This window comes from Homo sapiens, chromosome 5 (assembly GCF_000001405.40).
Source record: "Homo sapiens chromosome 5, GRCh38.p14 Primary Assembly".
NCBI classification, from domain to species: Eukaryota; Metazoa; Chordata; class Mammalia; order Primates; family Hominidae; genus Homo; species Homo sapiens.
In genome coordinates, this window is record NC_000005.10 from 5,035,462 (window position 1) to 5,055,399 (window position 19,938).

The following is a 19,938-nucleotide window of genomic DNA, read 5'->3' on the forward strand; positions in this document are numbered from 1 at the left end:
TTCCAGCTTTATTGTAAATATAAAACACACTTGATATTTACTAAAAAAGTAAAATGTAGATTGTGAAGTCATCTTATATAATCACAAGTCAATAGGAGTCAAATTAACAAGATTCTGTATTTATAGATTATAAAGAATAAGAGTTTATAAAGGAACCTAGTTTCTTTTTGCTTACACAGCATCACCCAGCCCTCCACCTGCACCACTGGAGGGATGGCAGGTGTGGAGGTTGGGCTGGTGCTGGTGATGGAGTGAGATACTGGAACAGTGTCTGCTCTCTTTGTACAGCAGCAAGGATTGGAGTGAACAGTGCTGTCTTGTAGCCCCAAGAGTTTATGGGAATTTTCAGCTTCTCCTATTTTTATCATTCTGATCGAATGTCAATAAATTCATACAAGTAAAATAATAAAAAATAAAACCCTCATATTTCCTTATTTGTCAAGATATGAAATTAGTTCTAGTGAATCAAGAACACTAATATTTTGGCTACTTAATTATATCTATGAGTAGATGCTAAGTTTAATTTTAAAGGGATCTATAATAGAAAAAAATACATTGTGATTCTTTATTATGACTTCCTTTCTAGATCATAAAATCCTTTTGAGTCTACCTTCAAAAATATTTAGCTCACCTCCCTCTCTTCCACCACCACGGGGCTGTCACATGTCCTGTGAGGCAGTCACTTTGCCTTCACCCGTTGGATGACCTGCCACCCAATCCTGCTCTCTTCCCACAGAATTATCTTCCAAAAATGCAACTCACTTTATGTCAGGCTCCTGCTTAATAAACCTTTGCTACCTCTCCCTCAGGATGAAGTCCTAATTTCTCGTCACCTTATAAAAAATGATTACAGGCCAGACGAAGTGGCTCATGCCTGTAATCCCAGCACTTTGGGAGGCCAAGGCGGGTAGATCACGAGGTCAGGAAATCGAGACCATCCTGGCTAACACGGTGAAACCTTGTATCTACTGAAAATACAAAAAATTAGCCGGGCATGGTAGCAGGTGCCTGGAGTCCCAGCTACTTGGGAGGCTGAGGCAGGAGAATCACTTGAGCCCGGGAGGCAGAGGTTGCAGTGAGCCAAGATTGCACCACTGCACTCCAGCCTGGAAGACAGAGCAAGATTCCGTCTCAAAAAAAAAAAAAAAAAAGATTACAATTTGGCCACAATCAGCATTTTTTTTTTAACCTCACTCTTCCCATATAATTTATGCCCTAGCCGGCCGGGCGCGGTGGCTCACGCCTGTAATCCCAGCACTTTCGGAGGCCGAGGCGGGTGGATCACGAGGTCAGGAGATCGAGACCACCCTGGGTGACATGGTGAAACCCCATCTCTACTAAAAATACAAGAAATTAGCCGGGCGTGGTGTTGGGTGCCTGTAGTCCCAGCTACTCAGGAGGCTGAGGCAGGAGAATGGCTTGAACCCGGGAGGCAGAGCTTGCAGTGAGCCGAGATCGCGCCACTGCTATCCAGCCTGGGCGACAAAGCGAGACTCCGTCTCAAAATAAAATAAAATAAAATAAAATAAAATAAAATAAAATAAAATAAAATAAAATAAAATAAAATAATTTACACCCTAGCTAAGACCAACAAAATGCAGTTAGCTGATAGATAGATGCGCATGGAATGACAGGGCAGTATGAGGTGATGCATCCTAACTCAATTTGATCTCTGAAACGAATTTCTAGCTCAGAAAACGAAATATAGAATTAATCACAGTAAAAAGTGGGAAAATTCTTTTATATAAAACATTAGATTTGGAAAGGCAAAATACGAAGAACAAAATAAAAATATAAGCCAATGTAAATGTAACCGCATTCACTTTTATTAAACTCTGCTCAGAAACTAAAACTGAATCTTGATGGATTATGTCATAAATCCATGAAAACTGAGCTTTTCAGAATCAAGAGCTTTCACCCTGGTCTCCATCCTCACCCCTGTTGTCTGTATCATACCTTTTCCCGCTGCCGCCTTCTTTTTCCAATTTTCACTCCAAGTATTTCTTCAAAAATCAAAAAAATTACCCATTTTCCAAGGGATCCCCATGTTAGCTTTTAGTTTCATTCCTTTGAACCCCTAAGAAACTCTTCTCTATTCCTATCACTATCCAAAGCCTGTAAAAGTTGGTCTTACAGTACACTGTTGGTTTGGGAAAAAATCTTTTAGAATTCTTGGACCTTTGAAGGGAGTATGTGTAGTATAGGTTTTCTTTTTCCCTCTTGGTTTTGAGAGAAAGCTAAAAAGATAGGGAATGGGTAGAAATTAAACAATGGCTTCAATAAACGGGGAAAACAAAAGTGAAAACAAAAACACTAAAAAATAGAAAAAACAAAAGTCTGCAAACAGCTTCCATGTCTGCTTCTCTGTTTCTTAGTGTTTGTAACATTTGAGTCAAAACAAACCTGTGGGTTCAGTGTTTCTCTGAGCAGGTAGGAGGTTGTCAGCCTAAAAGAGTCAGACTGAAGCTTTCATTCATGAACCTTCACATCTGATCAACTTTCCAATCTCAATTCATCAGCTAAACTGTTCACTATGCAGAAAATCCTTTGCTCTGAAGCCTTAGGGACAAGGTCAGTTTTTTGGCAGAAACCAACTTTTTAATATATAGCTATTATATATATTGGCTATATATTCTGCCTACAACATAGGCAGAATAATGGTCCCTAGTAGTGAGCACATTCTAATTTCCAGAACTTGTGATTACATTACCTTATATGACAAAAAAGACTTTGCAGATGTGACTAAAGTTAAGGACTTTGAGATGGGAAGATCATCCTGGAATATTCAGTTGAGCCTTAATCTAATCATTTGGATCATTAAGAGTGGAGAACTTTTCTCAAATAGGATCAGAGAAAAAGATGGTCAATGGAAGCAGGGCCAGGGAAATGCTACATAGCTGAGTAAGACGATAGAGGAAGGGGCTGTGAGCCAAGCAATCTGGACCACCGCTAGAAGCTGAAAAACTCAAAGTGGCTGATGCTGTCCTGGATCCTCCAGAAAACATCACTGACATTTTTATTTTTGCATAGTGAGACTCATATCAGACTTAAAGACCTGTATGGTAATAAATTTGTGTTGTTTCAAGGCACTGAATTTTTTGCAATTTGTTATGATAGCAGCAGAAAAGTAATGCACCATAGTTCACTTTCGAGTTTTTTTAATTATGATTTTTTTACAGATGTTGTTGCTATGATTTTTCTTTTTAAGACCTGCAGTGACCTGCTGCTACCAGAACTGACTCGCTTCAAAGTGACGGATGAAACCCATATGGAGATATTCCTGGGGTGGGTAGGCCAGTTGGAAGACAGAGTGTTTACACCTGAGAGAGGACTTGAGGTGAGTTGAGTATAGGGCTTGATTATGAGTTTAATATCTACTTCTCTCACTGGACTGCTCCATCACTGAGGGCAGGTTTATCTGTCATGTTCCCCTGTGCTATGTTTTTTTTTTGTCCCTACCTAAGCTCATGTTGAAATTTAATCCCCAGCGTGATGGTATTAGGAGGAAGGTATTAGTGGAAGATGTTTGAGTCACGGGAAAAGATCCCTTGTGAATGACTCGGTGCTGTTCATATGGTAGTGAGTTTTCCATCTCACGAGATGAATTGGTTCCTAAAGGAATGGATGAGTTCCCTTGAGAGTGGGTTGTTATGAATCCAGGACACTCTCAGGTTTGGTCCCCTTCAAGTGCCTGATTCTTCTTTGACCTTCTCACTAGGTTTGGTGCAGCACAGGAGCCCCCACCAGAAGCTGAGCAGAGGTACAGCCTACAGAACCATGAGCAAAATTAACCTCTTTTCTTTATAAATCACCCAGCCTCAGATATTTCTTTGTAGCAACACAGAAAGGAAAAAGACACCCTGGATGCTCAGTTCTTGGAGAAGCACAGGTATTTTGCCAAAGTGCTTAAGAGCAGGCCTCCGGATGTCTGACTACCTAGGTTCAAATTCCAGCTGGGTGGCTTCCAAGCTGTGTGCCATGTGCCTTTGGGCAGGTAAGTCAATGCACCTCCTGTGCCTCTGTGGGGCCAGCAGCAGTACTTCATAAAGGATAGGTTGCTGAATTAAGTATATTATGGTCATGTTTCAACTAACATGTACCTAATATGTGCTAGGTTCTCCTCTGGGCACCCTGGAACCATCAGTGAACAACAACAAAAAAGAATCCTCTGTCCTCTTAGAGCTTACATTCTAGTGTGAGAACACAAATAATAAATATACTAAATGACAAATAGAAAAACAAAATAAGGCAAGGAAAAGAAATAGTATCAAAGGCAGCTGGTCATGATTTTTAAAATATACTGACTATGTGTATTAGCTGGTTCTCACACTGCTAATAAAGACATACCTGAGACCGGGTAATTTATAAAGGAAAGAGGTTTAATTGACTCACAGTTTGGCATGGCTGGGGAGGCTGCAGGAAACTTACAATCATGGCAGAAGGGGAAGCAAACACATCCTTCTTCACATGGCACCAGCAAGAAGAAGTATGAGTGAAGCAAGGGGAATGTCCCTTATAAAACCATCAGATCTTGTAAGAACTCACTCACTGTCATGAGAACAGCATGGGGGAAACCACCCCCATGATTCAATTACTTTCTATAGGGTCCCTCCCATGACACGTGGGGATTATGGGAACCACAATTCAGAATGGGATTTGGGTGGGGGATTTTGGCCAAACCATATCACCAGGGTAGGCTTTATTAAGAAGGACATTTTGAAAACGCTTAAAGGTGGTGGGAGAATTAGTCATTTCTGTATCTATGGCAAGGACTTTCTCAGCAGAAAGAGCATCTGGACAAAGGCCCCGAGGCTGGAGGAAGCCTAGTGGAATGGAAGACGGTGGCCAGAACATCTGGAGTAGAGAGAACTGGGAGAAATTTGGTAGTGAGGAAAATAATGTGGGGCTAGATTATGTGGAGTCTAGCAAGCCATTTTAGAAGAAGAAGGAAGGTTTTCAGCAGTAAGGGATACCAGGAAGAGACATTTACAATGAGCCACTCTGGCTTCTATATCTAGGACAGACTCCAGAGGATGTGGGGTAGGGTCAGGGTCAGGAAAGTAAACACCAAATCCAAGGCCACTGGGAAACAGGGGCATGAGATTGTGGTCCCTCAGAATAAAGTGGTAGTCCTGGAGATGGTAAGAAATAATAAGATTGCTGGACAAGTTTAAAATAAAGCCAAAACAATTCCCTCACTCTAAGGATATGGAATGTTCAAGAGTGATAACAGATGAGAATGACCCCAGGTTTGGGGGAGGCAAAACATTGGTAGAGCAGGGCAGCTAACAGCTGAGAAGGGAAGGCTGGGAATGGGCTCAGTGTTGAATGTGTGGAGAATCCAATGTGGGTAAAGCACCAGTGGAGATGTCGAAAAGACAGTTGGACAAAGGAGGAAATGTCAGGAGGCCGCAGTGTGGACTATGAACTTGGGCATCAGCGTGTGAATGGTATTTGAAGCTGTGAGACTGCATAAGGTCACAAGAGGAATGTGTGTGGACAGAGAGGAGAGGAAGACTGAGCTCTGAGCCATAAAAAGTAAAAAATCAGAGGGGAAAGAAAGGAAAATTTGTTATGAGAAAAACCACAGGAGTGTGGTATTGTGGAATCTAAGAGAAGACATGAATCAAGAGAGAGGAAGGGGTCAGCTGGGTGGAATGTAACTGGTCCCATTGGGTTTAGCGACACAAAGATCTTCCACAATGTGTTTGTGGAGTATAGAGGACAGAAGCGGGTGGAGTGAGGTTAAAAGACAAGAGAGGGAGAGGAAATGGAGTTAGTGAGTATAGATAACTCTTGACAGCTTTATTGAAAATGGGAGCAAAGAAATAGGTGATTGCAGGCAGAAGAAATGGGGTTAGGAGAAGGGTCATCAAAATTGGGAGAAATGACAGCATGCTTTTGTATAGATGGTGATAATCCAGTGAAGAGGAGAAACTTGGCAATATGGGAGAAAGTGGAGAAAGCTCTGGGGGCCGTGCCCTGGAGTCAGGGGAAAACAGAAGGGTGGCACACATCGCTGGAGAAGCTTGCTTTGGTGGGAGCACGGACGGGGCATCCGGGGAAGAGGTATAAAGGGGAAGAAAGTGGAGACAGGTGCTGGCAGATGAAGAGCTAAGAGGAGGGAGTTTGGGGCATTATTTTCTTATTGTTCCTATTTCTCAGGGAGGGGGAAGCCAGGTCACATGGGGAGGAGGTGGACAGCAGTGGCCGGTGCTCAGCAAGGCTCCAGGGTGCTGATGCTTCGACAAGCCATAGGTCGGAACCCTAGAAGACAAGCAAAGCTGCCTGTTGAATTATTGAAGAAATGCATGTGATAAATCTTATTTGTGAGAACCGAAATACTAATTTTTATAGTTCTATGAGCTTCGGCTAAATTTTTTGTTAAGTTACGGTCACAATAATGTGTTTTATGTTTCATTTCAATGTACACTGTAAAGAATTGTGATAGCACATAATCAGGCCTATTTTAGCAGAAAAATTGAAGTGGTAAGTATGCTAATAGTCTCAAAACAAGAATATATGAACTTTTCTCTGAACTGTATTATAATGAAGATGAGGTAAGGAAAGCTCTCTCTCGTGACCAAAAGAGGCATGAATTTGGTGTCTATACTAAAACCTGGGCCCTTGTTGCTCAAATTATTTTTGAAAATAGATAAAGTATGATAAAAAGAGAAAACCAAATAAGAGGACAGAAATAGAGAGATCATAATTTTAAAACAAAGCAACTTTCAGCATGAGCAAGGCAAGCTGAGAATAAATAAAAAGAAGCTACTTCAGAGTAGAAAATCAGATTACAGAGCTCATGACTCCAAGATTTTTACCAGTAAGAAGGGCAAAAAAAATAAAACTGGTTTGAGTAAAAAATAAAAAGCATAAATGAACCTCAGAGGTCAATGTCAGGCCAAGTAAAAAGGTTATTTCATAGAAATCCCAGGAAACTCTTGTTGGCAACAGAATGGTGGGCTTCTTGGACCCAGCTTCTGACTAGAAAGGCAACTTTTCTCTCTTGGTTTAAACCTCAGCTATCTAGGTTATAGAACCTGTGTCAGAGAGTAAGGGTCATGCACTTGATATTAATGATTGCATAGATGGGCTTGTTTTTTTACCATGAAAATATGGAATTCATTTTCTCACCTTGCTTAAAAGTTCTGAGTACTTTAAACCCAGTAACTGACCAATCTCTGGATTGTCTTCATGGGATTCTTACTCAGAGCTTCTCTGAGCTGGCAAACAGACGCTTCAACCATGGATGTCTGAGGAATTATAGAATTCTACCTTGTGAATGGAAAATTGAATAACTCAGGGTTCTGAACTTGAACTTCAAACACCCTTGAGAAAAGTGACCAGTCTGAAAAAGAATGTAATCTAAATTCCCATGCTTCAATGGAAATATGCCCTCTGGGAAAGTTCAATGAGGACTAACTGGTTTTCTACAATGAACTTCAGTTTATAAATGCATTCTAAATTTGTCTATCACCCTGGGATTCTTGTAATACAAGACAGCAAAACAGCAGGATGCCTTCTGCCTCTCTCCTCTGTGGTGGTTGTAAAGGACAACTGACATCCCTTACCACTACTTGGGATCATGCCAGGAAGGGTCCAGAAATAGCATTTATGCTAAAGGCAATGGCTCTGAATTCATCAGCCCAGCTTGGATTTGCAATCCTTCTGTACATTTGGAGTAACAACTACCTTATTCACATGCATATATATGTTTGATGGATATAAATAGATGACATAGATATAGACATAAACAGGTATCTGTGGGTCTATTTATTAATTTTAAAAGAAACATTGTATTGCATACTTGCAATTTGCCAAAAAAGTAGATTTTAGATACTCTTACCACAAAAAGAAAGAAAGAAAGAAAGAAAGAAAGAAAGAGAGAGAGAGAGGGAGGGAGGGAGGAAGAAAGAAGGCAGGGAGGGAGGAAGGAAGGAAGGAAGAAAGGAAGGAAGGAAGGGAGGGGAAGGGAAGGGAAGGAGGGAAGGGAGGGGAAGGACGGAAGGAAAGGGAAGGAGGGAAGGGTAGGATGGAAGGGAAGGGAAGCAGGGAGAGAGGGTATACTTATCTTGATGTGTATATATCAAGATATGTATATCAAAATATATACCTATATATATCAAGATGATTGTATCAGAACAACATGATGTACACCTTAAATATATATAATTTTAAAAACATACAAAGATAAATATTTAATTGCTATTTCATTTATTTATTTATTAACTTTTAAGTACAGGGTACATGTGCAGTTTTGTGACGTAGGTAAACCTGTGTCATGGGGGTTTATTCTATAGATTATTACATGACCCAGGTATTAAGCCTAATACCCACTAGTTATTTTTCCGGATCCTCTCCCTCCTCCCACTTTCCATCCTCTGATAGGCTCCAGTGTGTGTTGTTCTCCTCTACATGTTCATGTGTTCTCATCATTTAGCTCCCACTTATAAATAAGAACATCTGGTATTTGCTTTTCTGTCCTTGCGTTAGTTTGCTAAGAATAATGGCCTCTAGCTCCATCCAAGTTCTGGCAAAGGACATGATCTCATCCCTTTTATGGCCTCACAGTATTCCATGTATTCCATAGTATTCCATGTATATGTACCACTTTCTTTATCCAATTTATCATTGATGGATATTTAAGTTGATTCTATGTCTTTTCTATTGTGAACAGTACTGCAATGAACATACGCATGCATGTATTTTGATAATAGAACAATTTGGATTCCTTTGGGTATATACCTGGTAATGGGATTTCTGGATCAAATGGTATTTCTGTCTCTAGGTCTTTGAGGAATCGCCACACTGTCTTCCACAATGGTTGAACTAATTTACATTCCCACCAACAGTGTATATGCATTTTGTTTTCTCTACAACGTCACCAGCATCTGTTATTTTTTTACTTTTAACACTAGCCATTCTGACTGGTGTGAAATGGTTCTCATTGTGGTTTTGATTTGCATTTGTCTAATGGTCAGTGACGTTAAGCATTTTTTCATATGACTGTTGGCCATATGTATGTCTTCTTTAGATAGTTCAAATAGTTGATGAGGATTACCTAGGAATTTAAAATATGCTTGATATCTCTTTCCAAACCTGCTAAAATATTTATTTTCAAATGGCAGCTTTCCATGTCACTGCATGGGCATCTGGTCCTGCTCTCTGGGCTCATGTGTATCTGGCTACATACCAGTGAGAAGCATGAGTGACCTGAATTCTGCATTAGAACACTTTTCTTATCTTTTAATAGCTTTGCTACAATTTTCTAAACATAACTCAGTGATCCTCTATTCAGAGTTTAATTTTATCACTGGATTTAGAATTTAGAGAAATAAATGCTCCATAATCATTGCAGTATCCTATGTCCCTGATAGAATAAAGAAAACTGCTCACATGACAGCAATGGTATTGTTAAAATTTAAATGAACTTTCAGAGGTTCATGGTATGATTATAGGTATGAGTGGAGGATTATGTATAAAATTATCCATGCATTAATTTTTCATCCATCCATCTTGCATACATGTATATACAAATATGTATTTATGCATATATACATATATATCTGTGCATGTATGTTGGTAAATATACATGTTTCTGTCCTTTGCTCTGTCTCTCTTTCTGTCGTTTTATTCTGCTTAATAATCACATGATAAAATTTCTGTATAGCTGCTCAAAGAGATCAGGTTATTCAAAAATCTCTAAGCAGTTGTGAAACCCAAGGGACATGAACAGAATCCTGCACCGCAGAACCAAGTAATCTCTGTATTCAGGTTATTTGGAAGAGTCCTGCAAACCAAAGTAGAGTTCATAGGAAAAGCCTATTGAGGCTAATTACCTTGATGGAAACTGATAAGTAATTGCTCATCTCATATAATCCGTTCATTTCATTTCAATTCATCTCATTTGTTCTTCACAAAAACCGACACTTGAGGATACCAGGTTTGAGACTGTGCTCCTCTACCTCTGAGCCTTGGTTTCCTCATCTACAAAACAGCAGTAGCAATCATTCTCTTGCCAAGATATGAGAGAGGATGCAATGAGGTGATGAGAGCAGAGTACCTTTTTTAGTACCGTCAATGATACTAGTGCTGCTTGCTATTAGTCAATAGCTGTGTGGGATCTCAACACAACATCCTCGGCCTGGACCCCTGTTTTCTACCTTTGGCTGGGCTTTAGATCAGAAACAAACATGGCAGGAATTCCTGCCATTGGCTTTGAACCAGAAAGAATCCCTAGAGTGGGGGTCCAAGCCAAGCTCTTGAAGGAGAGCTGAGCACCAGCCAAAGACCAAGCAACCAGGCCACATGGGCAAGACGTGAACTGCAATAAGGGTCAGAGCCAAGGCTCACAGGACATAAGCAGAGCCTGGCGGAACCTGGTGGGCTTGGAAGCATGCAGAGGGCACAGTAGTCAGGAGAATGAAGCTGGTGCTGACCTTCCCCAGTAGGAGAGTGGACAGTGGGTACCTCAGACTGACTCAAAGTAACCAAGTCAGGGACAAGTTTTCTCCCAACAAAAAATGACAGTTAATCCTCAATCGCAGGCTCAACTCTCCCTATCTACACAATCAAGTCTTACGTAGCCACGACAAAGGTAAGAATTCTAGTCTAGAGCATTGGGATGTAGGCTTCATCTGAACTCATTCTGACAGCTCAATTCTTTGGTCGGAGGACACTCACCCATGCCTGTCTGAAAAAGTGGACTTTCCACCACTGCAATGAGTTTTCTCTTTCCTATTTCCTGTCTTTCAGGGAGTCCAGATTCATGTGTTGGTACATTTTAATCTATCCTTAACTGAGTTTTGTCCTTTGACATGATACAGGATATTTCAAACAAAATTTCTCAGATGTGCCTGAAAAAGCATTTGCCCACTTATTCTCTTCTGTGATTTAAATTGAAGTTGGTGGTTTTTGTTTGTTTGTTTGTTTGCTCTTTTATTATGACAAGTTATCTTTTGGAATATAATAAGCTTTTGTGACTGTTTTATAATGTTACACTTTGGATTTCCTTGTCCCATTTGTATACCTGGATTCATATACAATAACATTTTGTATCTATGCAATTATAAGGAAAGCATCTAAGAAAAAGATGGCAGATACTATAGCTGACCGTTGAGGGCTGATCCCCTTTGCAGATCTGTTTAGACCTTAGATCCAATATTTATTCTGCTTTTCTACTCTGTCCTTGTTCTCAACATAAAGAGACAAACTTCTTGAAGCTGGAAGCCACATGTTGACAGACGTGGTGATTTTTGTCAAACTCTACAGAAAACTTAGGTTTTCCACATCCAGTTTTTTTCCCTTGTTTTTTTTCTTGGGGCTGTTACACAGTCTCAACTAAAACCATGAACTCTCGTTTTTAAATATTCTGTCTACAGGCAGGTGACAGCAACTTCACATTTCAGACAGAAACATTATGAGTAAGAACCTGGGTCAGGCACATGCATTTTTTTCAATCGTTTCATTGTGGATGATGAACCAAGCCAGGTGGGACCTTGAAAATACTGACTGATTTTTTTTTTCTGGGGTTTTGGCCAAACATGGAACTTTTAATGAAGTTCCATGAGCACTTTTAATGAGCACTTCTCTTGTGCTCCTGACTGAAAATTGCATTCTCAGAGGCAGCTATTAGGTGAGTTTGGGATCATGTTGAGTCCAACACCAGCTACTTCTGATTTTTAGGACGAAAGTTCCGCTTCATAGGACAATTGAATTCGGTCCATGGGACTTCCCACTGTAATAAAGAACTGCCCAAATTTTAATGTTTTAGTCAGTCCTGGCTCAAGCATAACCAGGTGATTTTGCTGTAGTTTTTACATGAAAACTCTAGTGAAGGAGGGTAATGTGTTTCAGTTTCAGTTATGCAGAAGAGCTGAGAAGAATTACTAACCAGGGTATATGCCTTTGAAATCCCCTCTTTAGTTTTTTTTTCCCCTAAAATGAGATCTTTTCAATCCTCTTGGTTTGTGTCTGAAAATCTCAGTGGCCTGAGAACACAAAGGAAATTGATTCAAAGACTTTGGAAAACTTTGCAAAGGGGCTGTCATTCGACTGGCTTCCTTTGTCAGGTGCCCAAATCTGATACTGCCCCATGGAAAGGGTATGAGGGAGATGGAACTCGCCCCTGACCCAGTTCCTTTTCAGCCCTGCCTTGGAGTGGTTGTGCAAAGAACAATCCCCACCATAGCCAAATCCATAATTGTTCTGGAAAGTGTTTTCCCTACGGTTTCTGATAAGTTCTTTGTAGGTGAACTTTCCTCACCAGCCAAGGAACTATCCAAGCTCCACGAGGTTAAACGATTTCCCCAAAGACTATTACATCTTAATCCAATCAAGGAAGCAATCTCATTTTTCTGAATGCATTACCAAAATGTTTTCAAGCCTCCATTGCATGTATCTTTCTAGAGGAATAGTTTTATGTTCATCGAATTGAAAGAAAACTTTTTAAATGCCAAAATGACAGGACACATTGATATTCCTCAGGTCAAGCTTAGAAATGCAATTTAAGTTTACCTGGCAACTGAAAATATTGTTAAAACAGATTAATGCACTCCAAGAATTCAAATTATCTACGTGGAAAAAATATAAAAATCTGTGTTGTAGGTTTAGAAAACAGATGGGCTTATAAAGTATAACCTTTCGAAATTGATCAGCAAAGCCCCTCTTTATTAATCCTAGTTAAAATATAGCAGCTTAGGGAAGTTGTAGGGCCTCAGATGTATCAAATAGAGATTTTTCCTGTAGGAGCTGAAAGAAGAGTACAAGTTTAAAAGAGCTCCACAGTTCCAGGAAGGCTCCCTCCTGAACACACGTGGGCAGCAACCTTAGGCACCTACCCACGAACAAAGGTTGATGGGCAAGCCTCATGCTAACAGGACCCCTCTTTCTAGCCAAGTGAAAGGCAGCCACCTAGAGCTTTCACCAAGAGGTGCACATTGCCAGTGCTTGAAAGGGAATCACAGGTGACTGGTCTGTGCATGTTACTTTTCTTGCCCACTCAAGTAGATTGTCCTGCCTTGTGTCTCCAAATTTCTGCTAAAGGAGTGACCCCTGGGAGGTGACCTCCCTTAGACAAACTTGGTTTACGGTTCCCAACACTGACCCACACTGAGATATGACCTTGGACCAACTACTTAAACTCCTCAGTGTTTTAAAAACAGTTTGCACGACACACATTTTACCCTTTCCAAGCCAGAAAGGGTATCTTTCCAACAGGATGTCCTTCTTCCTATTCCCAATGGACCTTTTTTTGGGGTCCCACTTCTTTACCTGAAAGACCCATCCAGGCAGCTGGTCAGCCTCTCTTCTGATCCTCCCTGGGCCCACTGCCCACCTTCCCAGCTCTCATTGTCTAACGCAGCACTGCCCAACAGAAAAACAATTCCAGCTACATAGGCAGCTTAAAGTTATTTTAGGCCGGGCAAGGTGGCTCACGCCTGTAATCCCAGCACTTTGGGAGGCCGAGGCGGGGGGATCACCTCAGGTTGGGAGTTTAAGACCAGCCTGACCAACATGGAGAAACCCCGTCTCTACTAAAAATACAAAATTAGCTGGATGCGGTGCCGCATGCCTGTAATCCCAGATACTCGGGAGGCTGAGGCAGGAGAATTGCTTGAACCCGGGAGGCAAAGGCAGCGGTGAGCCGAGATCGCGCCATTGCACTCCAGCCTAGGCAACAAGAGCAAAACTTTGTCTCAAAAAAAAAAAAAGTTATTTTGGTAACCTTAGTAACCACCTTGAAAAATAAAAAGAAACTGTTGAACGTTATTTCAACAATATATTTTGTTTAACCCAATATATTAAAAATATTATCACTTCAAAATGTGATCAATGTTAAACCGTAGGTGAGATAGTTTACTTCTTTTCGTACTAAAACTTTTAAATACAGTGCGCCTTATACTTACAGCACATTTCAATTCAGACTAGTCTACTTTCGACTGCTCAGCGGCCGCGTTCAGCCAGTGACTAGCATATGAGAAAGCACTGGTCAGGAGTAGAGCAGCAGTGTCCAGTTGTGCCTGCTGGCCCATAGTCACTGTCCTGTCCTATCTGTTTTTTGTTGTCGTTGTTGCTGTTGTTTGTTTGTTTTGAGACGCAGTCTCACTCTGTCACCCAGGCTGGAGTGCAGCGTCATAATCTATGCTCACTGCAACCTCCGCCTCCCGAGTTCAAGGGATTCTCCTGCCTCAGCCTCCTGAGTAGCTGGGATGAGAGGTGTGTGCCACCATGCCTGGCTAATTTTTTGTATTTTTAGTAGAGACAGGGTTTCACCATGTTGGCCAGGCTGGTCTCGAACTCCTGACCTCAGGTGATCCACCTGCCTTGGTTTCCCAAAGTGCTGGGATTACAGGTGTGAGCCACCCCGCCCAGCCCCTGTCCTACCTGTTTTAACTTCAGTGTGCCATGATGATATTTTAAAACCTAATAATGCCCTCTATCTACTGCTGAACTAGTAAAATAAATGTCTCTTACATTGATGTGACAGGCCCCTTGTAATATCAGTAAATATGTTCCTCTTTCTCTCCTCTCTGGTTTCTTAATCTGTGGTCAAGCTTTACCCCTAACTCACCTTGGAACATACTGCCCTCCATCCGCCTCCACACCATCCCTTAGTTCCCTAGAAAGAAATGTGACCAGATCCCCCTGCCTGCCAAGACCCTTAATGACCCTCATCCAACATCCCTCCTTCACTGGACGCATCATCCCTTTACTGATGAACTCTCATCCAGTCCCTCAACGGCAGCAGGAGCAGCGTGTTGCCATGTGTTGTAGTTATTTATCTGAAACATCACAGCACCGTGTACAGAGCCAGCTCTATGAGACCCTCCTAGAATGCCTAGTGCAGGGATTATGTGAAGGTGGACCCTGAATTAAAACCCTTTCCCTTTTCTCTTCTTATGCTATGTAGAAGGGATCCTAGTGCCCTATCAGTAGACTATCACCTAATTAGAGCTTGTTGAGCTAGCTTAGGGCGCGCATGGAGACCATGAGCATTTGCAATGAGTTTTAGCATATACCTGGACTTATCCGTGGAATGGGCAAGGATATGCGGAATGGCTGCCTCATTAAAGACCTCTGGGCTTCTCCAGCTAAAGGCAGAAAACTGTTGTGTTTGATTGTATCTCTTTGGTTGCCTGGATAATCTAAAGCAATCTCAACTCATTTGATTTAGTCACTGAGAAGCCTGTCATTGTTCTGAAATCACTTGTAAGTTTTCACTGAAACTGGAAAGTTTTTCTTTGTTTGGCAAGATACATTTATAATTTCTTCTACAATGAAAGCCCAGGTGAGAGGGGTCCAAGCAAGCAGGTGGCACAGAAGCATTTGTTGGGTGAGATGTACCTGAAATCACCTGCATCTCCTTGTTGGCCTACGGAATGTCTGGCCTGCAGGGGCCTCTGGATGGGGGTGTGGGTGCTGGGTCTGGCCTCAGTCTTCCAGATGCAGGCTGTGGTCATCAGTCTGGTTCTCCCTCACTGCCTCTTTCCTCTGTTTTGAAGCTTAAGACAGAACTTGACACAGTAATTCCTGGCCTGATCCTGGGTGACTCAGTACTCATTCTCATCTTTCCCTCTCCCTCATGACGGGAATCAGGAGCAGATCTCCTTCACCCCCACCCTGTATAACCCTTTATTAGCTTTACTGTAAACAGATAAAGAGCTTTCTCTGGTGCATTTGGCTACGTTTTCCTTCTTGTTTTTTCTTGTCAGTGACACATGCTGTTTTATTCTTGATCCTAGCATATCTGAACCTTTTGCACCATTCAGTAAAGAGAAAAGGGGAGCTCAGGTGAGAAATATAGTTTTATTATTTATTAATTAATTTCTTATTAAGTTCAAATGTTGTTGATTCCTTACCTAAAGTCTAACAACTCTCCCCATTTCGCATCCAAGCATTCTCAATATTTGCTTTAGACAGCAACAGCAGGATGGCAAATGGACCCTAGATTCCCTCTGCTGGGTCAAAGGATGGCCCAATAAGCAAGTACTCGATAATTATTAACAATAATTGAGAGAAAGATGGAATATGGAGTATTTGCCTTTTAGGAAATAGAGTGTTCAGGTTAATATTTTTCTAAAGGAAAGAAAAAGCGTGACAGAGCTATTCCCAGACTTCCACAGTTTAAACTTGGGCCAGTGGTCTAGGGTGTCTTAGGGGTTTGGTGGAAGGAGATTCCTGAGGGTAGCCCCTGCTCACATATATACTCTTTGCCAAGGATTCCATGCAAGTAGTTTGTGTCACTCTCTTGCTTCAGGTATTTTTCTATGCAGACCAGGATTTTCTTGCATTCTGATCTATTCTCAGAATGAGGAATAAAGGGACCCTAAACAAACACAGGTTTCTCTCACCTCACAATAAATCAGAAGTTCAGTAAAATAATGGGAATGTCCTCTAACTTCAAACTGGGTTCAGATTTTATCAAAGCACTTTACTTGTTTGCTCTGAATCATTCAACAAAGTTACCAATTTTGTTTCCTTTAGAAGGTAATGCCAAAGCAAGTTCTATTTGGTTGATTAATTGATTGTTTGATTACATGTTAATCACAGTGATCTTAAAGTTACTTCCTGCCATTGGGATAACTTCCAGGAGTAGGAGGAGTGGTCAAGATGTTTCAGAGTCACTTAAGTCCATGAGCACATGTTCAGCCTCAGCAGCTTCTGTTCTGATCAGGGTCTGTGCAAAGTCCTTGAAGATGACAGAGCAAAGCCATCGGAGGATGGTTGACTTCATGCTCTCTGCACTCCCTCCAACAAGGGGCTCTGACACTGGACACCTCATGATCAGGCCCCCAGGGCATGTGCTTCTCCCCATGGGCAGCAGCATCTGACCGGTCATCCCTGTACCTTCGCTCCATTGCTTCATTGGTCCCAGTAGGAAGCTGAGCAGAAGCACCTGGTTTCTAGGAGCTGATGAGGGCTGCTGGCAAATGAGTGGATAGTTTCCCAGAAAAGTAGTGGTCAGTGATCATAACAGGGCACTTAATGCTTGGAGGCAGGGGGCATACCATTATTCCAATGAGCTCCAGGACCTCAGCAAAGTTGATGCAGGCAGTGGAGTATTGGTGTTTTGACAGTAAAAGGAAGCAACACTTGCACCGGCCCATCTCGAACAACTAAAAGTTGTAGCTGCTCATCCCTGGAGAGGGCTCCCACTTCACCAGGCACTGTGCCAAGTTCTTTGTGTGTTCTGTCTGGTGTACTCCTCACAATAAGCCAGCTGAGGCAGATATTGTCATTAACCCATGCTGCAAATAGGGAAACAGAATCTTATAGTAATCACTAAGTGACTCGTTAAATTCACAGCCAATCAAAGGCAAACCCGGGGTTTGAATTCAATTTATCTTTCTGTCTGCTGCTTATGCTAAAATTCCGCCCCATTTCCTTTCTCTTATTTGCCTGTCTTAAAGCTTCAATTCTATCGTCACCTCTTCTGTAGAGTTTCTTTGATTTATAGAGAAGCCTTGGAGTTGAGCCTCTCCAGTCTCACTTCCACAATGGTACAGCAGTCAACTTGCTATGGTTAGACTAACCATAACTCTGCTGTTCTAGAGACTCTGAAGTCCTGGATACCTGGACTATATATTTCTGATGTGAGGATTGCTAGCCGCTAGTACCATACAGGTAATATACATATGATGAAAGGAGGAAAAAGAAAAACAGACAGAGGAAGGAAAGAAAGAAGAAGGGGAGGAAGAACACAGGAAGGAAAAAAGCAGACCCTGTCATTCTTTTCAAAAGACTTAACCATAGCCATTTACCTAAAAAGAATATTAATTACTTCTATTGTATAAATAAAAAAAACTAAAAGACAACTGAAGGTGGCCTGAATTTTTTCATTGTGTAAAAATTAATGGGACTGTATCATTAGATGACCCACAGGAAGAAGGTATCATACACCTATTCACAGCGAGTAAGATGTCAGAACATCTTACTTACAGATGGCTATTGTGTTTTCTATCAATAGCCAATTTCTGGAATTTAAATTTAATACATTTTAAGAACGATATCCTGAGACTTACATTATCAATGATCACACTTTCCTTATCTTGAACTAGGATAATAAAAATACGTAAAAAAAAAAAAAAAGTCAATTTTCTAACCTAAAAACCTTTGAAACAGTCACCCTCAGCATAGAGCACGGTGCCAATAATACTCAATGAATTCTTCTTGAAAGCATGTGTAAATGCATGAATGTATGAATCCATAAGGAAATGAATCTCTCTGAACCTTAACATTTAGGCAGTCAAACTGGAGATGGGAGTGGAGAACAAGATACAGTTGAGCTCCCCAAACAATTACCACGTAGTAAGATAGCACTGAGAAAGACGCCAAGAAGGGATTTTATTTTTAAAATAAGGAAAACTAAGAGATACAGAAGATAGATTGAGAGACTCCAAACACTCTCAGTGGCAGCTCGAGAAGATGAAAAGACAATGACACAGAAGTGAATAGTCTAAAAGTTAATGGCTATTTTCCAACTTAAAAGTTCTGCTTTTTCTGTAGGACACTCAATTTGAGTTTAGAGTGAGTTAAGAAAAAAATCCATATTGGGACATAAGCTAGTACAATTTAGAACAGCAAGTTAAAGAAAAAAAAGTAAAAGTTATAAAAAATGTTTTGAAAAGAAATATCTGTAAGAATAACCGCAGACACATCACTGGCAAATTGATGAAGAAATCAATGAAGTATGCTCAGGGTACCTGAGGGAGGAAAATCAATATTGAATGATGTTCTAATCCATGACCATTAGAATTTATGATGCAATAAAGACATTTTCAGTCTTATTTAAGACAGTTTACAAGCTTTCTACATTGAAAGGAAGGACTACATATTAAGAAAAAAAAAAAAAAAAAGCAAAGTGCCTATGGAGGCATGGTGTGGATTACGAAAGTATGCCCAGTAAAGACCTTACTAACATCTATGTGTTCATATAACCAATTCTGTGTCTAAATTTGACTTTTGTGTATTAAACAGTTGCGGTTAAAATTCTATACAACAGGTTGAGTGGTTCTTTAGTTAATAGCTAACGAATACCATGTTCCTTGTCCTGCTGTGGAAGGAGGATACAGGACCTAAATAATTTTTGACACTGTTGAAAAAATTTAGAATAAATCCTATTTATGTAAGTATGAATAAACTTAAAGAAAGTAAAAGAGAATTTAAAAAACTGTTTTAATATCATATAAGGTAATATTAGAAAAAATAAGGAAAGAAAGAAAAAGAAGAAAGAAGAAGGAAGGAAGAGAAAAGCTTTACTGCTAAAAATTATCAAGTTTTTAAATCTTCCTAACATTTCTCTCCAGTGGTTGTGAATTCCTCATGTTGTGAGATGATGCTCTGCCCTCATAAGGAAGAAACCAGCTCTCACTTCGCATCCTCCCTTGCAGCTAAGGTGCAAGCATGTGACCTTGGCTCCAACAATAAGCATATTTGAATAGGCATGAGTGAGGCTTCTGTTCAGAGTCCAGAGAATCTAAAAAGCAGGTGCTTTGCAGCATCCATTGTGGTGAGGGTAAGGGCGGAGACCTACTCTGCCAGGCCAGCCATAGCACCCAGGCCCAGCGCTCTCAGTGTTATCTACAGGGGCTGTGCCCACAGCTCGGTGTTCCTCTGCTGGGGCAGTCCTGCTGTGCCACATGGGTGTTCCAGCAAAGGATGGTTCTCTGGCCTTCTGTGACACACTCTGACGGTCTCTAGTATGCCTAAATAAGTCTCTTTCCTGCTTAAATTAGAACTGATTTGTAATATATAGCCAACAACTCTGAATGGCATCATGCATGGTGAGGAAAACACAGTTTCACCATGGTACTATAACAATTGATCCAGGCAGCATTCTTTGCTGGACACAGAAAATAATGAATGTGAGTTTGCTAAATAGTAATATTTACATACATTCACTGTTATTTGTTTTTTTACAACAGGAATAAAAAC

The 19,938-nt window shown here is 40.9% G+C and overlaps 1 long non-coding RNA gene across 1 annotated transcript in view, besides 2 other annotated features; it reads left to right on the forward strand.

Moving 5' to 3' along the window:
- LINC01020 (long intergenic non-protein coding RNA 1020) overlaps positions 1 to 19,938 on the forward strand; it is a 35,646-nt gene that overhangs the window by 1,103 nt on the left and 14,605 nt on the right. The window contains exon 2 of the long non-coding RNA NR_026994.1: positions 3,209 to 3,337. This is a non-coding gene — a long non-coding RNA (long intergenic non-protein coding RNA 1020). The remainder of the gene's footprint in view (positions 1 to 3,208; positions 3,338 to 19,938) is intronic.
- Positions 4,383 to 4,482: an enhancer, noted in NCBI's record as "active region_22320". NCBI's record gives its function as "activates an Ori minimal core promoter by ATAC-STARR-seq in GM12878 lymphoblastoid cells {active_cell/tissue: GM12878}" and the evidence as "EXISTENCE:reporter gene assay evidence [ECO:0000049][PMID:35858748]".
- Positions 4,503 to 4,742: an enhancer, noted in NCBI's record as "active region_22321". NCBI's record gives its function as "activates an Ori minimal core promoter by ATAC-STARR-seq in GM12878 lymphoblastoid cells {active_cell/tissue: GM12878}" and the evidence as "EXISTENCE:reporter gene assay evidence [ECO:0000049][PMID:35858748]".